The sequence below is a fragment of the Homo sapiens genome, chromosome 10 (genome assembly GCF_000001405.40).
Source record: "Homo sapiens chromosome 10, GRCh38.p14 Primary Assembly".
NCBI classification, from domain to species: Eukaryota; Metazoa; Chordata; class Mammalia; order Primates; family Hominidae; genus Homo; species Homo sapiens.
This window is the reverse complement of record NC_000010.11, coordinates 104,222,188-104,244,361: the sequence shown is the minus strand read 5'-3', so window position 1 is coordinate 104,244,361 and position 22,174 is coordinate 104,222,188. Positions and strand designations below refer to the sequence as shown.

General features: G+C 40.8%; 1 protein-coding gene across 1 annotated transcript in view, besides 2 other annotated features; it reads left to right on the top strand.

Annotated features, from left to right (window-relative positions):
- Positions 937 to 1,231: an enhancer, noted in NCBI's record as "tiled region #2425; HepG2 Activating DNase matched - State 5:Enh". NCBI's record gives its function as "activates a minimal TATA promoter and a strong SV40 promoter by Sharpr-MPRA in HepG2 cells {active_cell/tissue: HepG2}" and the evidence as "EXISTENCE:reporter gene assay evidence [ECO:0000049][PMID:27701403]".
- Positions 11,877 to 12,171: an enhancer, noted in NCBI's record as "tiled region #1977; HepG2 Activating DNase matched - State 1:Tss, and K562 Activating non-DNase unmatched - State 1:Tss". NCBI's record gives its function as "activates a minimal TATA promoter and a strong SV40 promoter by Sharpr-MPRA in HepG2 and K562 cells {active_cell/tissue: HepG2 | K562}" and the evidence as "EXISTENCE:reporter gene assay evidence [ECO:0000049][PMID:27701403]".
- Positions 11,998 to 22,174, top strand: part of CFAP43 (cilia and flagella associated protein 43) — a 102,477-nt gene continuing 92,300 nt past the window's right edge. Inside the window, exons 1-3 of the mRNA NM_025145.7 lie at positions 11,998 to 12,180; positions 13,519 to 13,772; positions 18,805 to 18,901. Of these exons, the coding sequence (NP_079421.5) occupies positions 12,116 to 12,180; positions 13,519 to 13,772; positions 18,805 to 18,901 (416 nt within the window). The 5' untranslated portion in view covers positions 11,998 to 12,115. The remainder of the gene's footprint in view (positions 12,181 to 13,518; positions 13,773 to 18,804; positions 18,902 to 22,174) is intronic.

The following is a 22,174-nucleotide window of genomic DNA, read 5'->3' as shown; positions in this document are numbered from 1 at the left end:
CACTAGGAATGTCAGGTGATGGTTCAGCAATTATCACATTGCCTCTCTAAAAGTGATAAATTGGCAGCTGGAGCCAGGGAGAGGCCATTTTCTGATGGTCCACAATTACTGCACTAAAGTGTTAATTGAATGCGGGCACCAGAGAGAAGCAACTTTCTGGGCATATGCATTAACAGACAAAATGGGCCGGGTGAAGTGGTTCACGTCTGTAATCCCAGCACTTTGGGAGGCCGAGGCAGGCAGATCACCTGAGGTCGCGAGTTTGAGACCAGCCTGACCAACATGGAGAAACCCCATCTCTACTAAAAATACAAAATTAGCTGGGTGTGGTGGCACATGCCTGTAATCCCAGCTACTTGGGAGGCTGAGGCAGGAGAAGAAGCTCTTGAACCCAGGAGGCGGAGGTTGCAGTGAGCCAAGATTGCGCCATTGCATTCCAGCCTGGGCAACAAGAGTGAAACTCGGTCTCAAAAAAAAAAAAAAAAAAAAGACAGTGGTAGAGTATGACCTTCTAGGGGCACTCCCCCAGAAAAGGGCAGAAAGCCTCAGATGGCCATGTGTACAACTTCCTAAACACACTGTGTGTGCTCAGTTCCCAAAGGTAAAGAGGCATTGTGCGTGTGGGCAGCCCACCCTAAGGGAAGAATTATGGGAAAGGGGCTAGCCTATAAAGTCCTAGGATCAAGGTTAAACATTGCGCTTATTCTTCAAGTCGCATGCTTGGATCTCTTCCAAGTGTACTTTCCTATCTTTCTTGTTCTAAAGCCTTTTAAAATAAACTTCCACTCCTGCTCTGAAACTTGCCTCGGTCTCTTTTTCTGCTTTATGCCCCTCAAATTCTTTCTTCTGAAGAGGCAAGAGTTGAGTTACACACCTGTTCTGATTTGCCCCCCGTAACTCAAATACCTTCCACCAGTAAAAATAGTGCCACCCATAGACCCCACAAGGTGTGCCCCTGCCATGGGCCCCACCCTTTAGAGGGCCTACACCACTGTCATGTGGGATCCACCTCTCAACACTCTCCCAGCATGATGTGACTCTGAAGATCTGCCACATGACTTCACGTTAGCCCCATGTCCTTGAAACAAAAGGCTACTGTGTTTGGACACTGTGAGGTTTGTGTGTTGTGCCTCTTTCAACATCAGAGATGGAAACTACTTAAGGAGTATGGGGAGGGTGGGAATGCTTGGATAAGATAAAAGATATTGGCCAGGTGCTGTGGCTCATGCCTGTAATCCCAACACTTTGAGAGGCCAAGGCAGGCAGATCACCTGAGGTCAGGAGTTACAGACCAGCCTGGCCAACATGGCGAAATCCCATCTCTACTAAAAATACAAAGAATTAGCCAGGCGTGGTGGCGTGTGCCTGTCATTCCATCTACTCGGGAGGCTGAGGCAGGAGAATAGGGTGAACCTGGGAGACAGAGGTTGCAGTGAGCTAAAATTGTGCCACTGCACTCCAGCCTGGGTGACAGAGCAAGACTCCATCTCAGAAAAATATATTAAGGAATTTGTTGACTCCCTTTTTCAGAGAGCATGAGTGTATTCATTCATTCAGTATTGCTTTGTGAATAATTAAGTATTGTTTCCCAGTACAATCAAGTGACTATTTTCTTGTGTCTCTTTGATTCCAACTCCATTTGGTTCCAGGGGTTGTCATGAGTTAGTGTGGTATTGGCAATAGCTGCACATGGATGCTGAAGAATGTTTTGCAATATAGAAAAAAATGTATTAGTCCTACATTTCTGTAGGTATGTAGGTCTAGATATAACATGTATGAAGCTTGATACCAATTATTTGACAACTAGATAAATAATAAATATTAGAATTGCAAATTTATATAAAAATATGTAATAAATTTCATTTAAATTAAAAATATTTGCTTTAAAAATTTTTGATTTGAATTTTTAATTTTCAATCTTATAATTTGTATTTGACTTTTAAATTTTAAGAACTAATTTGAAAATAATTGAACAAATGATTTATGAGTCTCCATTAATATTCTTGCCTTAGAATTCTAGGTAAGCGTAATGTGACAATCCCCTCTGTCTTGCAAAATAACCTTCTCATTCTTCTTCATTAAAACATTATTTAAAACCACATGTTCAGTGTGCTATTTTCCTGAATGTTGACCTACAAACCCTTTCTGTATTTAACCTAGTGTAGTTATTTCAGCATCAAGAGTAAAGGAAGCATCTTGGGACACAAAATTTAGTCATAAAGCTATACTCCACAGATATCTCGAAAATATTTGAAGCTTGAAAATGAAGTCTGAATTTGTAGATTAAACGCACCAAATAATAACATTCAGCCATTTTCACTAAGTGGCCCAGGATATCCATAACAATGTAGCCTCTTCCCATATTATTTATTCTAAAACTTTTGGAAATTATGAAGGATTTCCTATTTTTCCTCTCTTTTTCCAGAAAAATGCAAAATTTAAACTAAATGTCCAATTTACTTTGAAATTTACAAGTCTGCTGGAAAGAAGAGTTATTTTCAGACAATTAACTACCTGAATTCAAGTTCATTTGAAACTTGTGAGATGTTGGGCAAAAAATCTTAACTTTCTGAGACTCATCTTTCCTGTCTCTACAATAAGGATTAAATAATACAGGTTTTATAAGGATGTACAATGCCAGGCACAGAGGAGTGGCTTAATATAAGTTAGCTATTATTATACAAACATGCGTGGATGCGGCGGCAGAGCAGAGAGAAAAACTGTGCAGAAGACGTAGACTTTAGGCCAGACGCAGTGGCTCACACTTGTAATCCCAGCACTTCGGGTGGCCAGGGTGGGAATATTGCTTGAGACCAGGAGTTCAAGACCAGCTTGGGCAACATAGCAAGACCCCATCTCTACAAAAAAAAAATAAAAATAAATGCAGACTTCAGGGGCAGGTGAACCCATGATTGAATCCAACTCTGCCTACTAACTAAATGTGTAATCTTGAGTCTCACTCATCTCTCTGAGCCACAGGTTCCTATGTAGCATAGTTGGTGGGAGCATTCAGAATCTATGGAGCTCCAAACACGTAATAGCTGCTTAGTAAATTGTGGTCATCGCTGCTATAAAAGGGGTCAATTGCCATAGAATAACTAGATACTCTCTATCACAGCAGATTATTCCTTTATTTTAAAAACATTAATTATTTACATTTCTTTTTACACAGAGAAACAATGCCAACTTATTTTTTTGACTTTTTGCATAAACAAGGTGCATTTCACAAAAAGCAAATAATTAGCTGATAAACAGGAAACCACTTACTCATCTACTTAATAAAATAAGTTCTAGTATGCTGTATGATTTTTTTCCCATGTTTAAATGGTCATAGAAAACTTAATTAATGGGTGAAAAACTTAGTGAAATTTCATCTTGCAGATTATCTTGGAATTTGGCTGGAACCCTACAGAAGCCAGGACTGAAATGATCCCTTAGTGGGAAATAAGGATTTTTTTGTTCTGTGACTGGCTGTGGACTAGTTTGGTTTTAGGGCTTGCTCCATGAACTTGAATTAACCACTGCTCTTTTAGCCTTTAATACAAGCTGAGTTCTACAAAAGTATAAAACCTCACACTGAGGATTAGGCGTATTCTGTCAAGGACTAGGCTGTTGGTGGCAAGGTGGAGATTTGCCAGGGAAGAGAAGATTGGGAGGGGCAAGGCCAGTTTAGGGGAGTTGAGCCCTTCCTAAAAATGGTGGAACACACTGGTTATTACTTTAGGAAGCCCAGGACTGCTCACTGGGTCACTGATTAGAGAAAAACTTGTGTGTCTTAGATTTTGTTTCTAATACCCATAAATCTTTCAATGTGAGAACTGGAACCGATTTTCCTAACTTATCCTTCCCAGTCCATTCTCTGGGATGATCTGCATTTCCCCTTCCAGAATAAGAAAGAAAGACCACTCATCCTTCTGTAATCTGGCACGGTGTAGGGGTCAGGTAATCTCTTGCATATCAGAACATTCTGGTATCCCCAGAAACTCAGCCAGAGACCTCCCTTTCCATCTAAACCATAACACCAAGATTTCAAGAGTAAGATACACACAAGACTGCCTTTTCAATTTGATTCCATTCAGTTCCTCTTTTGCTGTAACACAGGGTAAGTTCAGCTTCCCAGGGTCACTGCTGATTCCAGGCCAGCATCTCTTTCCCGAAGTCTATATTTCCTGCCTACCTTTCATCCTCTGCCAGTCACTTACTTTGGGAGCAGGGCAAGACTGGCCTCCTCACATTCTGCTCTAGGGTTGGCTTTAAAATTAAGGGAGGTCTCTAGCTGGGTTTCTGGGGATACCCATAGTTGATATTCAGGAGATTCCCTGACCCCCACACCGGGCCTGGTTGCAGAAGGATGAGTGGCCTTTCTTTCTTAGTTGTGGTTAAAGGTATGAGGGTGGGGTGGAGAGGGCTTGGTCAAAACACAAATAAGCAAAGTCATCAGGGGTGGCAAGAGAAAGTTTGACTTTTCCTCCTTGCCACTTCTCCCTGGGACTCTGCAACTTGAGATTTTGTCAGTCAGTTTTATGAGTTTTTAAGAACTAAGCATGGTGTGTGTCTGGCACTCACATTTCTGCATAGAAACACGTGTCTCCATTTCCTCCTCACCCCGTCTCAGTGAAGAGCACCACCATCTCTGTGGTAATTAGAAATCTAGGAACATCCTTGACTCTCCTTTCTCCCTTTCCTCTTTTTATCAATCCATCACCAAATCCTATAGATTTTTACCTTTTAAAATAACTTTTTAATACACTGACTTACCAGTGGTTTTCAACTGGGGAGTGATTGTGCTATCCAGGGGACATTTGACAATGTGCATAGACATTTTTGGTTGTCAAAACTGCAGAGGTGCTACATTGCTAAACACCCTGCAATGCACAGGACTCTACCAACAATCGCCAAATCTAGCCCAGAATACCGATAGTGCTGAATTTGAGAAATCCTGCATTGGCTCCACTTGTTAGGAGAATGGAATAGACTCCCGACTGATCTGCCTATTTCAATTCTCCCTGTTCTCCCACCCCAACCAATTGATAATCCTGCAGCCAAATGATCTTTTAAAAGCATAGACCTGATCCTGTCACTCCCCTGCTGAAAACCCCTTAATGTCTTATAGGGGAGGAGAAGGTGTGATACCTTTCCTCATCTATCATAAGGGTTATAGCCGACACTCCTATAACAAAAGACAGACTAACCAGAGAAAAGCATGACAAATTTGTTAAATCAAAGTTTTACACGACACAGGAGCCTTCAGAAATAAAGACTCAAAGACCCAGGGAAAAGTATTTTTATGTTTAGGCTCCATGAAGAACGGACAGCTGTGTAGAAATGTGATTGGACAAAAAGGGTATGATCTAATGGTAACAGACTGAAAGGGGAACCCAGCAAGGCCCATCTATTTACATTCTTTGTGGCCTCTCCGAGTAGGATTCCTTCCTGCTGGGTACAGAGCAGGACCCCTCTGGAATAAGATGCTTATGATCTACATTAGACAGGTAGGCTAGAGAATTTCTTTATGGCCAGTTCCTACAAATAAAGGCAGGGGAAGGTTAGAGTAATATTTCCAGGTTTTTATGCCTTGCTTTGAGGGAGGGGGTTCTATAATATATACAATATATATATTAATAGTTTCTATGACCCACCTTGGGGAAGAGGAATTCTGGTGTCTATGACTTGCTTTGGGGGAGAAACAGGGGCAGGAGACAGGAAAACAGAAAAAGGTCGGAGAGAAACTTTGCTTCTGAGGCCTTCCAGTCTTCTTTAATTCAAAGTATTCAGCATACCAAAGCATTATACTTTTATTTACTTATTTATTTATTTTTTTGAGATAGGGTCTCACTCTGTCACCCAGGCTGGAGTGCAGTGGTGAGATCATGAATTACTGCAGCCTCGACCTACCAAGGCTCAACTGATCCTCCTGCCTCAGCCTCCCAAACAGCTGGGACTATATGCACATGCCACCATGCCCATCTAATTTTTGTATTTTTAGTAGAAATGAAGTCTCACTATGTTACCTAGGCTGGTCTTGAACTCCTGGGCTCTAAGCCCCAATAGTCTTTTCATGGCTCTTAGGATAAAGGCCAGAACTTTCAACTTGTCCTTCACCTGGCCATTGGTTCCTTCACTAGCCTCATCTTAAGTATTTTCTTCTTATCTCCCTCTGCACCAATCACACTGCCCTTCCCAGTTCATCCAATCTGTGGCCCTGCCTTAGTGTCTTTATAAAAATTATCCTCAGCCCATCCCACCCCCATCCAGCAATCACTCCTCATGGTTTGACCCTCAGTGAAAGCGGTGCATGCACACAGAGACCATCCCTAACACTGCCCATTCAGCTCGTGTTAAAGAACGAATTATTCAACGGTACTTGCTAAAGCACGGTAAGGCCACCTTTACTCAGGACCATCATGAAAGGTATAGGAACCATGACAATGGAAGTTTGAGTACAGAGCTCAACTCTAAATATAGCATGGGCAAGTGGGAATTTATAGCCAAGGAGCAGGGTGGGGGTCAGTGGATGGAAAATTACTATAAGAAACCATCAGGGCTGATGGAGGATTCTGGCTAAATTGACCTAATGGGCTTCTTGCTGAAGACAGGTATGAAAGGAAAATAAATCTTGGGGCCCTCAAATCACTAAGCCAAAGGGAAAGTCAAGCTGGGAACTGTGTCAGGCAAATCTGCCTCCCATTTTATTCCCACATAAGATAGCTACAAATATAAAAAAAGCTACATACCTCCCTCATAATTTTCCCACAAGGAAATTCCTTGTGGACAAAGGACAGACAAAACTCAAAGTTGTCCCTCTGGTCACAAGAGACAACTGTATATCTGATGGCTTTCTCTGCCCTGTTGTTTCACTAAGCCAGACTTAGGCATAAGTGACTATTCCTCTACCCTCCTCTCATATGTAAATTGTTGTATTCAGTGAAAAGCTAATCAGAGACTCAAAGGAATGCAATCTTTTATCTCTTATCTCCCTATGACCTGAGTGAACCAATGTACATCTTAAACATATTGTGTAGGATGTCTCATGTCTCCCTAAAATGTACACAACCAAGCTGTGCCCCGACCACCATGGGCACATGTCAGGACCTCCTGAGGCTGTGTCATGGGCATGTTCTTAATCTTAGCAAAATAAACTTTCTAAATTGATTGAGACCTGTCTCAGATATTTTGGGTTCACATAGGCCAAGGTAATCAGACATCACCTGGGGGACGGTAGAGAATGAGGAACCTGATCAGATATGGAGGGTGATCAGACACTGAGGACACTGACTGACTGACTTAGCAGTGTTGCCAAACTGACTTAGCAGTGTTCTTTGCTAAAACCGGATCTTACAAGGAAGGGCGCAGACAAGCCTAGGGAAAGGCTCAGTAGCCTGACGAAAGTTTGACCAGGCAGAGAATCTTTGTCACTAGGCGAGGATCCTAACATAAGCATTCATACTATCATGTTTCTTTTCTTCTTATTTCAATCTATAATTCTATTTGCATAATGATGTTGTTATAGGAAAGGGGTCCTGATCCAGACCCCAAGAGAGGGTTCTTGGATCTCACGCAAGAACGAATTCAGGGTGACTCCGCAGTGCAAAGTGAAAGCAAGTTTATTAAGAAAGTAAAGGAATAAAAGATGATATACTAAACAAGGAGTGGATTACTCATGCCTCCCCTTTTTAGACCATCTAGGGTAACTTCCTGATGTTGCCATGGCATTTGTAAACTGTCATGAAGCTGGTGAGAGTGTAGCAGTGAGGATGACCAGAGGTCACTCTCGTCGCCATTTTGGTTTTGGTGGGTTTTGGCTGGCTCCTTTACTGCAAATTATTTTATCAGCAAGGTCTTTATGACCTGTATTTTGTGCTGACCTCCTATTTCATCCTGTGACTTAGAATGCCTAACCATCTGGAAATGCAGCCCAGTAGGTTTCAGCCTCGTTTTGCCCAGCTCCTATTTAAGATGGAGTTGCTCTTGTTCACATGCCTCTGACATTTCCCCCTTGTCTTTTATAAGAGAACCCTTAATCCTAAGGGTTGCAGAGGGACAAAGATCCATCTTTTGTAACTTTTTCAGGCTGAATAGGGGCGATGATATTCCTGCCTAACTATGAGGGTCTCTTGCATTCAGGGTAGAGAGGAGTTCAGTCAGAGAACATCAGTATGGTAAGGTCCATTCATAACTGTTGAGTTTTGACAAAAGGTGATATCTGGAAGATTAATACGTGTTTAAGAAAACATTTAGTAAGCTTGTCCTGTATTCCTACACAAAGAGTATAACAGCAATATATTCCACAAGGGTAGAGCAAAATAAGTAAAGTTGTTCCAAGTAAGCTAAATTAGAAGGCTTTTCATGAACTGGGCAGCTGTTGGAACTAAGCTGATATGGGGTTATTAGCTGAATGTGATGTGCCCGGAATTAGAATACTGATCCAGATTTTTACATTACCCATCCCTTTTGTTTATTCTGAGCAGCAGTCAGAGATCATTGGTTGGTTCACAGGAATAAGCAGGGTTAGCCTAAATTGCAGAAACGAACTTAAAAACAACTAATGAGACTAGAATTTAATAACAAGTATACCACAGTACTTGAAACATAATATTTCTCTCTCCAGTTTCTCATTTTTACTAAAGACAAATCATGGTAAGGCTGATTTGCTTTGTTATACTTGGCCTGATTATTTGTATAAAGTGCAACAAAAATAATTATTTTTCACATAGGCTCTTTTTAAATTAGCTTTGATGGAACTCTGCTCTATAGAAGTAATCTTAGACAAGACTTTGTAAAGCCAAGCTCGGCCATGTGTTTGTATCCTCAAATATCTATGAGTTGAGTAAATTCCTGTTCTCTTGAGGTCCCAAGATAACTTAGGACTCCTGGACCTGCCAGAAAGTGACATTCTTTACTTACCACAGGTCATTCTTTACTTACCTTTACAGGGACAGTTGCAGACAAGATCTGAGGCCAATTCTCCAAGTGGCTTTTATTGGCTTTACAAGTCAAGTTTGATTCCTTAAAGGAAAGCACACCATTCCAGTTAAAGCCGTGGTGAAATAACCAATTTATCCAATTGTGTTCTGCTACAAAAGAAAACAGATCCTTATTGCATGTATGCAAATAACTATATTGCCATAAATTAAGAATACTCACAAATAGTTTCCAAATTTTGGAAAAATCAGGTAGAGAGAAACAAATATACTCCAAATTTTGTTCACAGAAGTATACTCAATTGCTAAAAGCTGTAAATAGCTCAAAAGAAAAGTTTCCTTGACTCTGATATTCATGAACATTCCAGCTCTACATGAGGGTTCTGAAAGTTGTTTCCTCTATTCTAATGTTACAATTTCCAAAGTTATTGGAAACCTGCATTTGGGAACACCTGCTGGAGTTCTACAGTTGATTATAAACCACCTTCTAAAGAGGATTAGAACAAGAAAACAATTGTGGATGATAAAAAGTTTTAGGATAGCCACTATTAAAGCCACAATTGATAAGGAAACTTGGTTACCTATGTGGCACACAAAATTTTACATAACAATTATAATTATTAATAATCTACACTAAGTCATATTAGAATTATAAGAGTTTCTCATAACTTTGTAACATATACCAATAACACATTTATGCAAATATAGTCCAAAAAAAGCAAAAAACCATTTCATATTTGGCAATGCTTCCTATATGATTTTTATAGCAAATAAGCCAAATTTTACCTTTACATTAATGTGCTATTAATGTTAAACCCAATTTTTAATAAAACCTTATAGACATATTTACCCAATTTTAATGTTAACCATAAGGTAAGAGTCTTATAAACCTCGTATAACCCTTTACAATTGTGTGTGTGTGTGTGTGTGTGTGAAAGAGCAGATCAACTCTAAGAAAAACCTGTTGTGCTTTTATTCCAATGTTTAATTTATCGAAAAACTGAATAATACCCCTGTAACTTTAGCCAGTATGTTCACATACAGAATCTCTTACAATTAATTTTTATAAACCTTCCACAACTTATTTAAACCTTTAGTTTTTTTTTTTACTTAAAGCAATCCTTTAACACTTAAATGTAGGCAGAGAAAAATCCACATTCCCATTACTTCTTATAATCTTTCACCAAAAACACATTTTACTTTCTTTACACACCTTGCATGTAAAACTGTTTCTTTAGTAGTTTTAATTACATGTTATAATGTTAACTTTTTGCAACTTTTATTTTTGGTGAAAACCTTGGTAAGTAAGAGATTTTAATTGTGTACTAGGTGTGGAGCCTAGCCTAGGACACAACAGGCAGAAGTGCAGATAACAGCTGACTCTCTAGCATAGCTAGAGGGCATAGCTAACTCCACATGTCCACAGGGCTCACCCTTACTTAAGCAGGCAAGTTGTACAGTAAGAGTCATAGGGCATTGTATGAAGCATTTAGGAGGCCTAACAATCCGTGAATTGTACAACATTTCTTGCATAAAATCACTTTCATAAATCCTTTCACAACTTACACAGACCATCTGAGACCATGTGGATATCTAGCCCAACTCCCTGGATCCCACCAGTCTCTAAGTTCCAAGAAGGAAGAAACTTTATTTGTTTTTCTATTTTTTCCAAGTGACTAGCACATGCATGAATGCATGCGGGATGCTCTGTAAATATTTGTGAAAGAAATGGAGAGAAGAAAGCAAGACAGGAAGGAAAGACCTAAAGAAAGGAAGGGAAGGGTAGAGAAGGGAAGACGACTGAAGGGAAAGGAAGAAGGGTAAGGGAGGGAGTCTAAGGGAAGGTATGGGAGAGAAGAAGGAATGACAAGCTGCCGACCATTCAATCAGGTTACTTCCAGAGCTGTCTGCTTCCCTGAGGAAGCAAGAGGGTACATTTCAAAGTGTTATATGGTACTTAAGGGCTTGGAGCTCTAAATTAGCTAGACCTGCGTTTAAGTCCCACTCAGGGCTGGGCAAGGTGGCTCACGCCTGTAATCGCAGCACTCTGGGAGGCCAAGGCGGGCGAATCACTTGAGGTCAAGAATTTGAAACCAGCCTGGTCATCATGGTGAAAACCCGTCTCTACTAAAAATACAAAAAATTAGCTGGGCATGGTAGCACGTGCCTGTAATCTCAGCTACTTGGGAGGCTGAGGCAGGAGAATCGCTTGAACCCAGGAGATGGAGGTTGCAGTGAGCCAAGATCAAGCCACTGCCCTCCAGCCTGGGCAACGGAGTGAGACCCTATCTCAAAAATAAATAAATAAATAATATAAATAAATAAAGTCCCACTCAACTTTGTAGCCATGGACAAATTATGTGCTTCTCTTTTCCTCACGTTACTTATCTGTAAAATGGGGCTGATGGGAGATGTGAAGACGTTGCAACAATGTTTGGCACAGTCAGCACTCTAAATGAAAGTCTGTTTAGAAATTTATTGATTTTTAAAAATAATTATTTATTTAGAGACAGGTCTCGCTCTGTCGCCCAGGCTGGAGTGCTGTGGCGTCATCCCAGCTCACCGCAGCCTTGAACTCCTGGGCTCAAGCGATCCTCCCACTTCAGTCTCCCAAGTAGCTGGGACTACAGGCGTGCACCACCATGCCCGGCTGCTTTTTAAATTTTTTTGTAGAGATGCGGCACGGGCGCGGCAGGTTTCGCTATGTCTTCCAGGCTGGTCTTCAACTCCTAGCCTCAAGCGATCCTCCCGCTCTGACCTTCGAAAGCGCGGAGATTGTAGGCATGAGTCTTACTTGCAATTATTGGCCCGGACCTGGGGAAATTTGTTAAAATGCAGATTCTGATTGAGTAGATCTGGTGTGGGAGCCAAGTTTCTGCATTTATAACAAGCTTCCCAGGTAGCACCAATGTTGCTGGTAAACAGACCACACTTTGAACAGCAAGGGGCCCGCCCCTCGCTTGGCTTGCCGCTCACCCATTGGCCGAGAGCGGCAGACCTTCCACCAATCTGCTCGGCTCAGAAGGGAGCGGGCCAAAGCGCAGAGCCAATGGGCGCGGGGCTTACGGTCTCCGGGATACGGGTGTACACAGCAGCGGCGTCGCGGCCCGCAGCCCCGCGGCGGCGGAAAGGTAACCGACCCGCCCTGGGGTGCTGCGTGCGCTGCCTGCTCCCGCCTGAGGAAAACACTGCCCATGGCGCAAGGCCGGGAGCGCGACGAAGGCCCCCACTCCGCCGGCGGCGCGTCCTTGTCCGTGAGGTGCGGTGTTCACGGCCCCGCGACCGATCTGGGTCTCGCGGAACCTCCTGCCCCAAGTCCCCTCCTCCCTCCTCTCCCTCCGGTTCCTTAGGGCGGCTTTCCCCGCAGCTTCGACCTCTTCCCCTCTGCCCCCAGTGCCTTCCCTCAGCCTCCCTCCCCGTGTGACCTCCCCTGTCCGCTCCCCATCCCCTTGTTCCTTGACCCCGTCCCCAGTTGTCTTTCCCACTCCTTATTCTGCGACCCTGACCCTCCGTCTCTTACCCAGCAACGTCCCCTGCACCCTTCATCTCTTCCTTCTAGCTCAGGATTCCCGCTAGTGATCCGGGTCTTCTGATCACATCCCCCTCCCCCTCCACCTGGCGACAGCCCGGATCCCGTCCTTGCTACCTTTGGTGATTTTCCCCAAAGTTAGGTCCCTGAATCCTTTCCTTCTAACTCCTATCCACTAGCTTTGGATTTATTTGCATTTATAGTAGCCTTTGAAAAGCATCAAGCACTGCGCAGATATAGGTGGCATTTTTTCCCCTACATTCTAGAGTGTTCCTCCCAGCCCCCACCTCCACTCTATACAGCATCCCCTGCTAGTCCTGGACACTCTAATGTCTCGAGGTTTCTCACCAAACCAGTGTCCTTCACTTGCCTTTTCCACCATCTTCAAGCATACCTTTAATATTTAAATAAAAATAGAATCTCCTTCATCTCCTCTCCTTTCTAGCATACACCTAGCACGCACTCCTTACTTGAGAGTATGTTCTTTTTGTGTGCTAGCCTTTCATTCACGTCGACTTCATTCCTTTTATTTTCTACGTTTATCTGTATTTTTAAATCTAAAATATGGCCACATACTCTTCATCTGTGTAAATAAGCAATTTTCCTACTCTGCTAACAACCACAAAGCAGGCTGTCCTATGCAAAGTTGTTTTTTAAAGTTTATTTAAAAAAATCAAACTAATTATAAAAGAATGGCCCAGGATGCCACTGTGTTGAGATCAAGCTCTTTTCTCTGTTATTTTCACTTTTTGTCTTCCAAGTATAGAAGACCCCAGAAGTCCTTCTGAGACTTTCTCAGGTTTGGTCAGAGAGTTTCCTTTGCTGAAAAAGTTATCTGAAGAAGGCCTGGGAGACCTACGGAACTTTAGGTCTACATTTAAATTTCTATAATTCATTGACTCAAATGGATCTCACAGCCAGCATGTGTGTTCTTTTATCTTAGAAATTGGGGGCAGAAAGGACATGAAAATAGAAATGTTTCAAAGATTTTGATGACCCTTTGCTTTGTTAAAAAAAAAAAAGTATTTGAAATGTATTATATTGATGTTGACATATCTTTTCCCAAAGATGGGTGCAAGGATTCCCTAAGCAGAATGTTCATTTTGTCAACGACAACACCATTTGCTACCCTTGTGGGAATTATGTAATATTTATTAATATTGAAACCAAGAAAAAGACTGTACTGCAGTGTAGTAATGGAATTGTGGGCGTCATGGCAACTAACATCCCCTGTGAAGTTGTGGCTTTTTCTGACCGGAAGCTAAAACCTCTCATCTACGTATACAGCTTTCCAGGATTGACCAGAAGGACCAAATTGAAAGGTATTCTAGAGAACCCTTCCTCTGCCCATAATTGAAGGATTTTGTTTAAAGAGTTGACTAAATCTATTATAAGTGAAGATTTATTTTTTGAAAGGTTTTTTTTGTTTGTTTTTTGTGTTTGTTTTGAGATGGAGTTTTGCCCTGTTGCCTAGGCTGGAGTGCAGTGGTGCGATCTTGGCTCACTGCAATCTCTGCCTCCCAGGTTCAAGTGATTCTCCTGCCTCAGCCTCCTGAGTAGCTGGGATTACAGGTGCGCACCACCACGCCCAGCTAATTTTTGTATTTTTAGTAGAGATGGGGTTTCACCATGTTGGTCAGGCTGTTCTCCAACTCCTGACCTAGTGATCCGCCTGCCTCACCCTCCCAAAGTGCTGAGATTACAGGCATGAGCCACCACGCCTGGCCCCATTTTTTTTTTTAATATACATTTTTAAAGAAGGAATCAAGCTGATCACTGAGGATTTAAATTATGTTAGCTAGAGCCTTGCTGTTCAAAGTGTGGTCTGTTTACCAGCAACATTGGTGCTACCTGGGAAGCTTGTTATAAATGCAGAAACTTGGCTCCCACATCAGAGCTACTCAATCAGAATCTGCATTTTAACAAAATTCCCAGGTGATTCATATGCACATTAAACTTTGAGAAGCACTGGGCTAGAAGACTATTGCCTTTTTCAGAGCAATGACTTTTTTTTCTTTCCTAATATTTGTTGAAAATCCAGGTGAATTGATGTTTGTATAGCTTCTAAAGTCAAGTCTCTGAGCCTCAATTTCCTCATTCATGAAATAGGGATAAAGATGGTGTCTAATGTGAAGGCTGCGGTGATGATGATAGATGAAAATATATAATATGCTGTATGTGTATGTATGCCAAGTGCTCAATGTTGCCTACCATTTGAATTATTAGTGTTTATTTTATTTATTTTATTTTAACAGAGTCTGGCTCTATCACCCAGGCTGGAGTGCAGTGGCATGATCTTGGCTCACTGCAGCCTCCACCTCCTGGGTTCAAGTGATTCTCCTGCCTTGGCCTCCCAGGTAGCTGGGATTACAGGTGTGCGCCACCATGCTCGGCTTTTTTTTTTTTTTTTTTATGTTTTTGGCAGAGGATGGGGTTTTACCATGTTGGCCAGGCTGGTCTCGAACTCCTGGCCTCAAGTGATCCACCCACCTCCGCCTCCCAAAGTGCTGGGATTACAGGCGTGAGCCACTGTGCCCGGCCTAATGACTCTTTCTTAGATACAGCTGACCCACACTGAGCTGCTGCACGTCTGCTGGAGCCACCAGCTAATGATTCCTTCATTTAACACCCCATGGGCAGAAAGCTCATGCTTGAGGCTGGACTTAGCTCTGTAGTCTTAAGGGTCAAATAAGTGTTTGGATGAAGTCAGGGAACTTCACTATAATTTATAATACTTTGTTTGTGGTGAAATTTGCATTCTCAACAGTTTAAGACAATTTTCAAAACATAACCCATTCACATGTTGGGGACTATCTAGGTGGACTATACCCTTTATCTTTAAAATTTCCCCAGGTTGGTTATTTGGCTGTAGTTCTGTTTGAACCAATTGAAAGTTAGTTCAAACCAATACCCAGGAGTCTTACTGAATAATGATGCCCTAAAGGAATTCCCAGTAATACTAATCAGTAATATTAATCAGAGAGACCTGTTATCACTATTATTTAATATCAACCTGGAAGTTCTAGCCAATGCAACAAAATATAAAACTGAAAAAAATATAGCTATGGGAAAGGGGATGATGGATAATGCGATAGTCTGCTAGGACTAACAAAAGAATGCTCAGTAAGATGCTGGTTTTGAAATAAGTACCCATACAATTAGAACATATACATACTTAGAAATAATTCAAAAAAAAGTGTGAGTGACCTAGGGGAAGAAAACTACAAAAATCATTGATTTAAAATATTTAAATATATAGAAATATATTCCTGGATGGAAAGCCTGGTTATTATAAATATATTTCTGAGATTTGTCATAGAAAGTAATTTGTAGGTTTATCCTATGTTTTAGACAGCAAGGAGTACTCAAATGATTCCAAAATTCATCTGGGAAAATAAAACATAGAGAATGAGAATAATTTGAAAGAGAATGATGGCAAGGCAGAGGGTCATTTTAATATTATGGTGCCATAGTAATTAGAAGTATGGCACTGGTGCAGGGATCACCAAATCAGTGGGAGAGTTGAAGACTTGGGACAGAATCTAAAGTATATAAAAGCTGAGTAAATGAAGAAAGAGGCTACCACCAAAAAGAAGGAGGAAGAGAAGGAGGAGGAGGAAGAAAGAAGAAAAAATATAGATTATTCAACAGTGGTTAAGAAAACTGCATATTTTAACAAAAGTATCAAGTTAGATACTCATGGTCTATATCAGATGAAAAAAAGCATTAAATATAAATAACAAATCCACTTGAAAATAGTAGAAAATATGGGCCGGGCACAGTGGCTCACGCCTGTAATCCCAGCACTTTGGGAGGCCAAGGCAGGTGGATCACGAGGTCAGGAGATCAAGACCATCCTGGCCAACATGGGGAAACCCCATCTTTACTAAAAATACAAAAGTTAGTTGGGCATGGTGGCGCATGCCTGTAATCCCAGCTACTCAGGAGGCTGATGCAGAATCGCTTGAACCCGGGAGGCGGAGGTTGCAGCGAGCCGAGATCACGCCACTGCACTCCAGCCTGGCAACATAGCAAGACTCTGTCTCAAAAAAAAAAAAAAAAAAAAAAAAAAAAAAGTAGAAAACATGGTAGAATAGAGGAGTGATTCCAGGAAGGGGAAGAACTTTTCACACAAAACAAAAACTTAGAAAAGACAGACATATTTGATTGTATATCTGTTTTAAACTGATTAACATCAAAAACACCATGAAAAATTAAAAGGGAAATAATAAACCAGGTAAAATATTTGGAACAAATATGATCAAATATTTTCAGAGCATTAATGAAACAAGAACAAAACAAACAGCCTCTTAGAACAATGGAAAAGAAATTAACCCAGACAAATCACTAAACTCCAAATAACCAAAGACATCAAAAAATGTTTCATCTCAAGATTTGTTTTAAAAAGTGTGATTTAAACCAAGATGCTATTTTTCTGCCTATCAAGGTCACAACTTTTTTATGATCATAATTGCTAGGTAGAATGCAGTGAAATTGGTAGCACTCTTATTTGCTGAAGGTGGGACTATAAATTGATAGAGTCTTTCTGTGAAATAAATATTGACTCTATTTGACCCAGTATACTCACTTCAAGACGAATTCAATTTTTAGGAAATGGTTAGAAATATGGTCAAAGATTTACATGCAAATGAGCTTAAAAAGCACTATGATAATAGCACAAGGTTGGAGCAACCTACATCTCCAGTATTATGGATATAGTTAAATAAAATATACTATAAAGGGGTATTATGCAAACATTAAAAATCACACTTTTAAAGAAGTGTTAAGATAATGATAAAATGGTCAATATAACGTAAATAAAAAACCAATAGGAGGCAACACTATGATCCAATTCCATTTAAAAATGGATTATCATATATTATATATATATGATGAGACAGAGTCTTGCTCTGTCCCCCAGGCTGGAGTGCAGTGGCGCAGTCTTGGCTCACTGCAACTTCCGCCTCCCAGGTTCAAGCGATTCGCCTGCCTCAGCCTCCCAAGTAGCTGGGATTACAGGTGCTTGCCACCACACCCGGCTAATTTTTGATTTTTAGTAGAGACGAGGTTTTACCATGTTGGCCAGGCTGCTCTCAAACTTCTGACCTCAGTGATCCACCTGCCTTCCCCTCCCAAAGTGCTGGGATTTCAGGTGTGAGCCATCTCGCCCGGCCTCATATATAATATTTAATCTATGGCTAGTATAGCTATAAAAAGCAAAGTTATATTTAAAGAAAATATATATGTATGTATTTTTTCAAGTAAACACAGAAGAAAAGACTAGAAAGAAATTTACCAAGTTTGGTAGTAGGATTATAGAGGGTATATTTTTCTCTCTTTTTTTTTGGCATTTTCTTCAAATACCATATTTTCTAAGATTTAAAGAATATCTAAAGTTGGTCATCTTCAATTGTGGGGGGAAACGTCTGTTTAGCAAGCATTTAAAAATCATTAAGATCTCTGCCTACAGAAAAACTAGTTTTTGTAGTGAATGCTCAATAAATACATTTTTTCTTTGTTGATTAGACTATGCTAAATATATTCAATAAATGACAAAAGCAAAATTTTAGGATTATATTATGGTCAATTAAAATGAGAATGAGAAAAAAAGCAGAAAACAGCTATTAAAAATCCACAGAACAAGCAATAGAGACACAAACATACAAAGACAGACTGAGATGAGGGCAAAGCTTGCACCTGTGGAACCCCACTGAAGAACAGCAGATGAAGAAGAGGGAAAATCAGACCACTCTGTACTGGGAAGCAGAGACAGGCGCTTCTTGTTTTGGCCTCCCCATGATACGCATTTTAAAACATGTTGTTGCTAAGACTTTGGAATTCATGTTGCTTTTTGTCAACTATAGGTACAAAGGAGTATGTCACTTTTTATAGCTGTTCCAAAAGCTGGCAGATATTAAGCTAAGGGCCAGATATGGCCTAAGATAATAGAAATAAGGAAGTAAGCTAGAATTATTACAACTTCCCAAGATATTTAAAGATGTCTGAATAACTATTCTAATTACAATGTCTCATATATTTATGAGATTATTCTTGGGTCATTTCAGACCATGCTGGGACATACATGGTGCGGTATGCTCAGTTCTGCATTGAAGTCTAGAGACAGTAACCTAATGGTCTTAATTCACTTTAATATATTTTACAAATGGATCTTAGCTTTGCTCTAAGCTTTCTGTTCATGGTCTTAGAAATTAGCCAGGATCTTTCTTATTCTAATAGTTAAATGCTTTTGAATTACGTGAAAATCATTAGCAAAGGAAAATAAACTGTAAGACCATAGTTAACTGAACATGGTCTTAACATAATCAAATCCTGATAATGGATTTTATATTTTAGGCAACATTCTCCTGGACTACACTTTACTTTCATTCAGTTACTGTGGCACCTACCTGGCTAGTTACTCCTCTCTCCCAGAATTTGAACTGGCCCTTTGGTAAGTTTCAGCATCCTGTGGAATTCCTTTTACTGGGTTACATTTTCCTCTTACTCTTCTGGATTTTATCGAAGGAAATAGACATGAAAAATCTGAAACAAGGAAATATAGAAGGAAAAAATGCCAATCACAAGTTTTAATACAGTTGCTATGTTTAGGCATAAAATTTGGCAGTCAGAGCAAAAACTATATAAGAACTAAATTAGTTATTGTCATTCTCTTTCATTAACATGCTTTATGTATTCTCAGATAGAGAATATATTTATAAATACATAAAGTTTCACTTAAAAAAAACAAATGGCATCTTGGAGTTGTTCGTATGTTTCCTGCTAATATTGAAATTGAGATGGTCTCTATATTAGAGTTCAGTTTAAAGTAATTGTTGTTAGAGACATTAGAACAATTATATGTTCAGAGAGTGGAACATTATACCACTTTTGCCCACTGTATGGGAAATCCTGTGGTTAAGACACATTTCTAGTCTTTCCTGGATCATTTCACGTGGCCAACTTTAAGGCTATACTCCCTTTTCTATCCATGATATAAGCCCCTTCAAGAGGATATTTTTCTTATTAAGGGGAAGTACAAAATATTCCAGAAATGATTAAAGGATAACATACTAACATTTCTTATACAAAAATGTAAGTACCTAGATTCAGGGAGCCACATTTAGTTTATGTAAATTTTTTTTTTTTTTTTTTTTTTTGAGATGGAGTCTCACTCTGTCCCCCAGGCTGGAGTGCAGTGGCACGATCTCAGCTCACTGCAACCTCCATCTCCCAGGTTCAAGCAATTCTCCTGCCTCAGCCTCCCGAGTAGCTGGGGTTACATGTACCCGCCATCATGACCAGCTAATTTTTTGTATTTTTGTAGAGACGGGGTTTCACCATTTTGGCCAGGCTGGTCTTGAACTCCTGACCTCAGGTGATCCACCCACCTTAGCCTCCCAAAGTGCTGGGATTACAGGCATGAGCCACCGCCCTAAAATTTTTTTAAAACAGCTTTATTGAGGTATAACTAACAGATAATGAACTGTTCATATATAAGGTAAATACTTTGATAAGTTTTGATTTATGTATAAACCCATCACCGTAATCAAGATAATAAATACATCCATCGGCCAGGCGCTGTGGCTCACACCTGTAATCCCAGCATTTTGGGAGGCTGAGGTGGGCAAATCACGAGGTCAGGAGATCGAGACCATCCTGGCTAACACGGTGAAATCCCATCTCTACTAAAAATACAAAAAATTAGCTGGGTATGGTGGCAGGTACCTGTAGTCTCAGCTACTCGGGAGGCTGAGGCAGGAGAATGGCGTGAACCCGGGAGGCGGAGCTTGCAGTGAGCTGAGATTGCGCCACTGCACTCCAGCCTTGGCGACAGAGCAAGACTCCATCTGTAAATAAATAAATAAATTCATCCATCACCCCAAAAGTTTCCTTGTGTTCCTTCAGAGCTTCTTCATTAGCCTTTGTCAGTAATGTAGTTTCTGTCACTCTAGTTTGCATTTTCTGGTAGTTCATATACAGGGAGTGACACAGTGTATATTCTTTTGTCGGGCTTCTTTCATGCAACATAATTATTTTGAAATTATCTTATGTTGCTGCATGTATGTGTCAGTAGTCATTCCTTTCTATTCCATGGTATGGATATACCATACTTTATTCACCTGTTGATGGATGTACTGTATTAGCTTGCTAGGGCTTCTGTAACAAAGTATCACAAACTGAGTGTCTCGAATAACAGAAATGTATTATCTCACAGCTCTGGATACACAGGATAGGAAGCAGCTGGGAAGAGATGACAAGTGCATAAATTCTGATAGTTCCAAAAGCAGAAGGCTCCAATTGTCCTTACTAAGAGCAATCTGTAAATATTAAAAAAGCAGTGAAGTGGAATGAGCACAAATGTGTTAGTGTAACAGACTTAGACCTGAATCCTGGCTCCACAAATTACTAGCTGTGTGATCTTAGAAAGGCTGAGCCTTAGTTTCTTCCTCTGTAAAATGGGTACATCAATGTCTCCTAAATATGGTTTTTCTAATAATTCATTGACTAAAAGTATGCATCATACCTAATAGTGTCTATTACATTATGTTTATTTAAGTCAGAGTTTCAAAAATGATGATTGTTAGGCTAATTCTGGGCCACCAGTGTATTTTTTTTTGGCCATAAAATATTTTTAAAATTGGAAAAATTTAGAGAAAAAGTTATCTGTATAACCTTTCTCAAACACAGGCAACCCTGGACCTGTATTCCCACATGGTCACAGTCTGGTTGGGCTAGTAAGTGGGTGCTCATTCTACATGCCCACCACCTTGAGCAGGGGTTGGTAAACGATGGCCCATAGGCCAAATCTGGCCCACCACCTGTTTTTGTAAAGTTTTGTTGGAACATGTTTATTTGCTTATATATTATCTATGGCTGCTTTTGCTCTATGATGGCAGACTTGAGTTGTAATAGAGCCCATATATGGTCTGCAAAGCTAAAAAGATTAACTGTCTGGTCCTTTATAGAAAGAGCTTGCCAACCCCTATCCTAGAGGTGTTTATACTCAGTACATTTCATTCATTTACATTAACTTCCTGGCCCCTATAAGCATTTGAGTTTGCTCACTGGATTTAATTCATTCAATACATTTGTATCTCCTGCTTCCTGCTGGATATAAAATGTATCTCAGGTACATTTTAGGTATATCTGAGCCTTCTGTAGAGGGCATTTTTGATAAGCTGAGGTGAGACTGAGACTATGGGTAGGTAGTATCTCCTCCCGGTCCCAACCCTTCCCCTAGATTTGTTTGCATGTCTTAATATTCATGCGCACTTCTATTTAGGAAATTTGAGTCAGAGGGGAGAGACAAGGGGGCAGGAGTGAGGAGGGCAGGGGAGGACAGGGTAGATGCTGTGCAGAGGACCAGACACTGCTCTCTCATGAGGAGATTCTCAGTGAGGCTCTGCGGCAGCAGAGGTGCCCTGGGGCCCAAGAATGAGTATGAACAGAGCTGGGAGACAGACACTCTTCCAGCCTCTGCTGTGGAAACCCAAGATGAGAAGCTTTGGGAGCAACCCCGATGGCACCCTCGGGTGCTGCATAGAAATGTGAGTGGGATTTAATCCTGTGATGAGGCCCAATAGTCCTCTTCACCAAGTAGCTTTGCCAGCAGTGGGCCTAAACACGAGGGAGCTAGAAGATGAACAGGGAGGAGGATGCAACTCACTTGGTGACAGCAGTTAGTCCGTGGACCCTGGGGACTCCCAGAAATAATTTAGTAAAA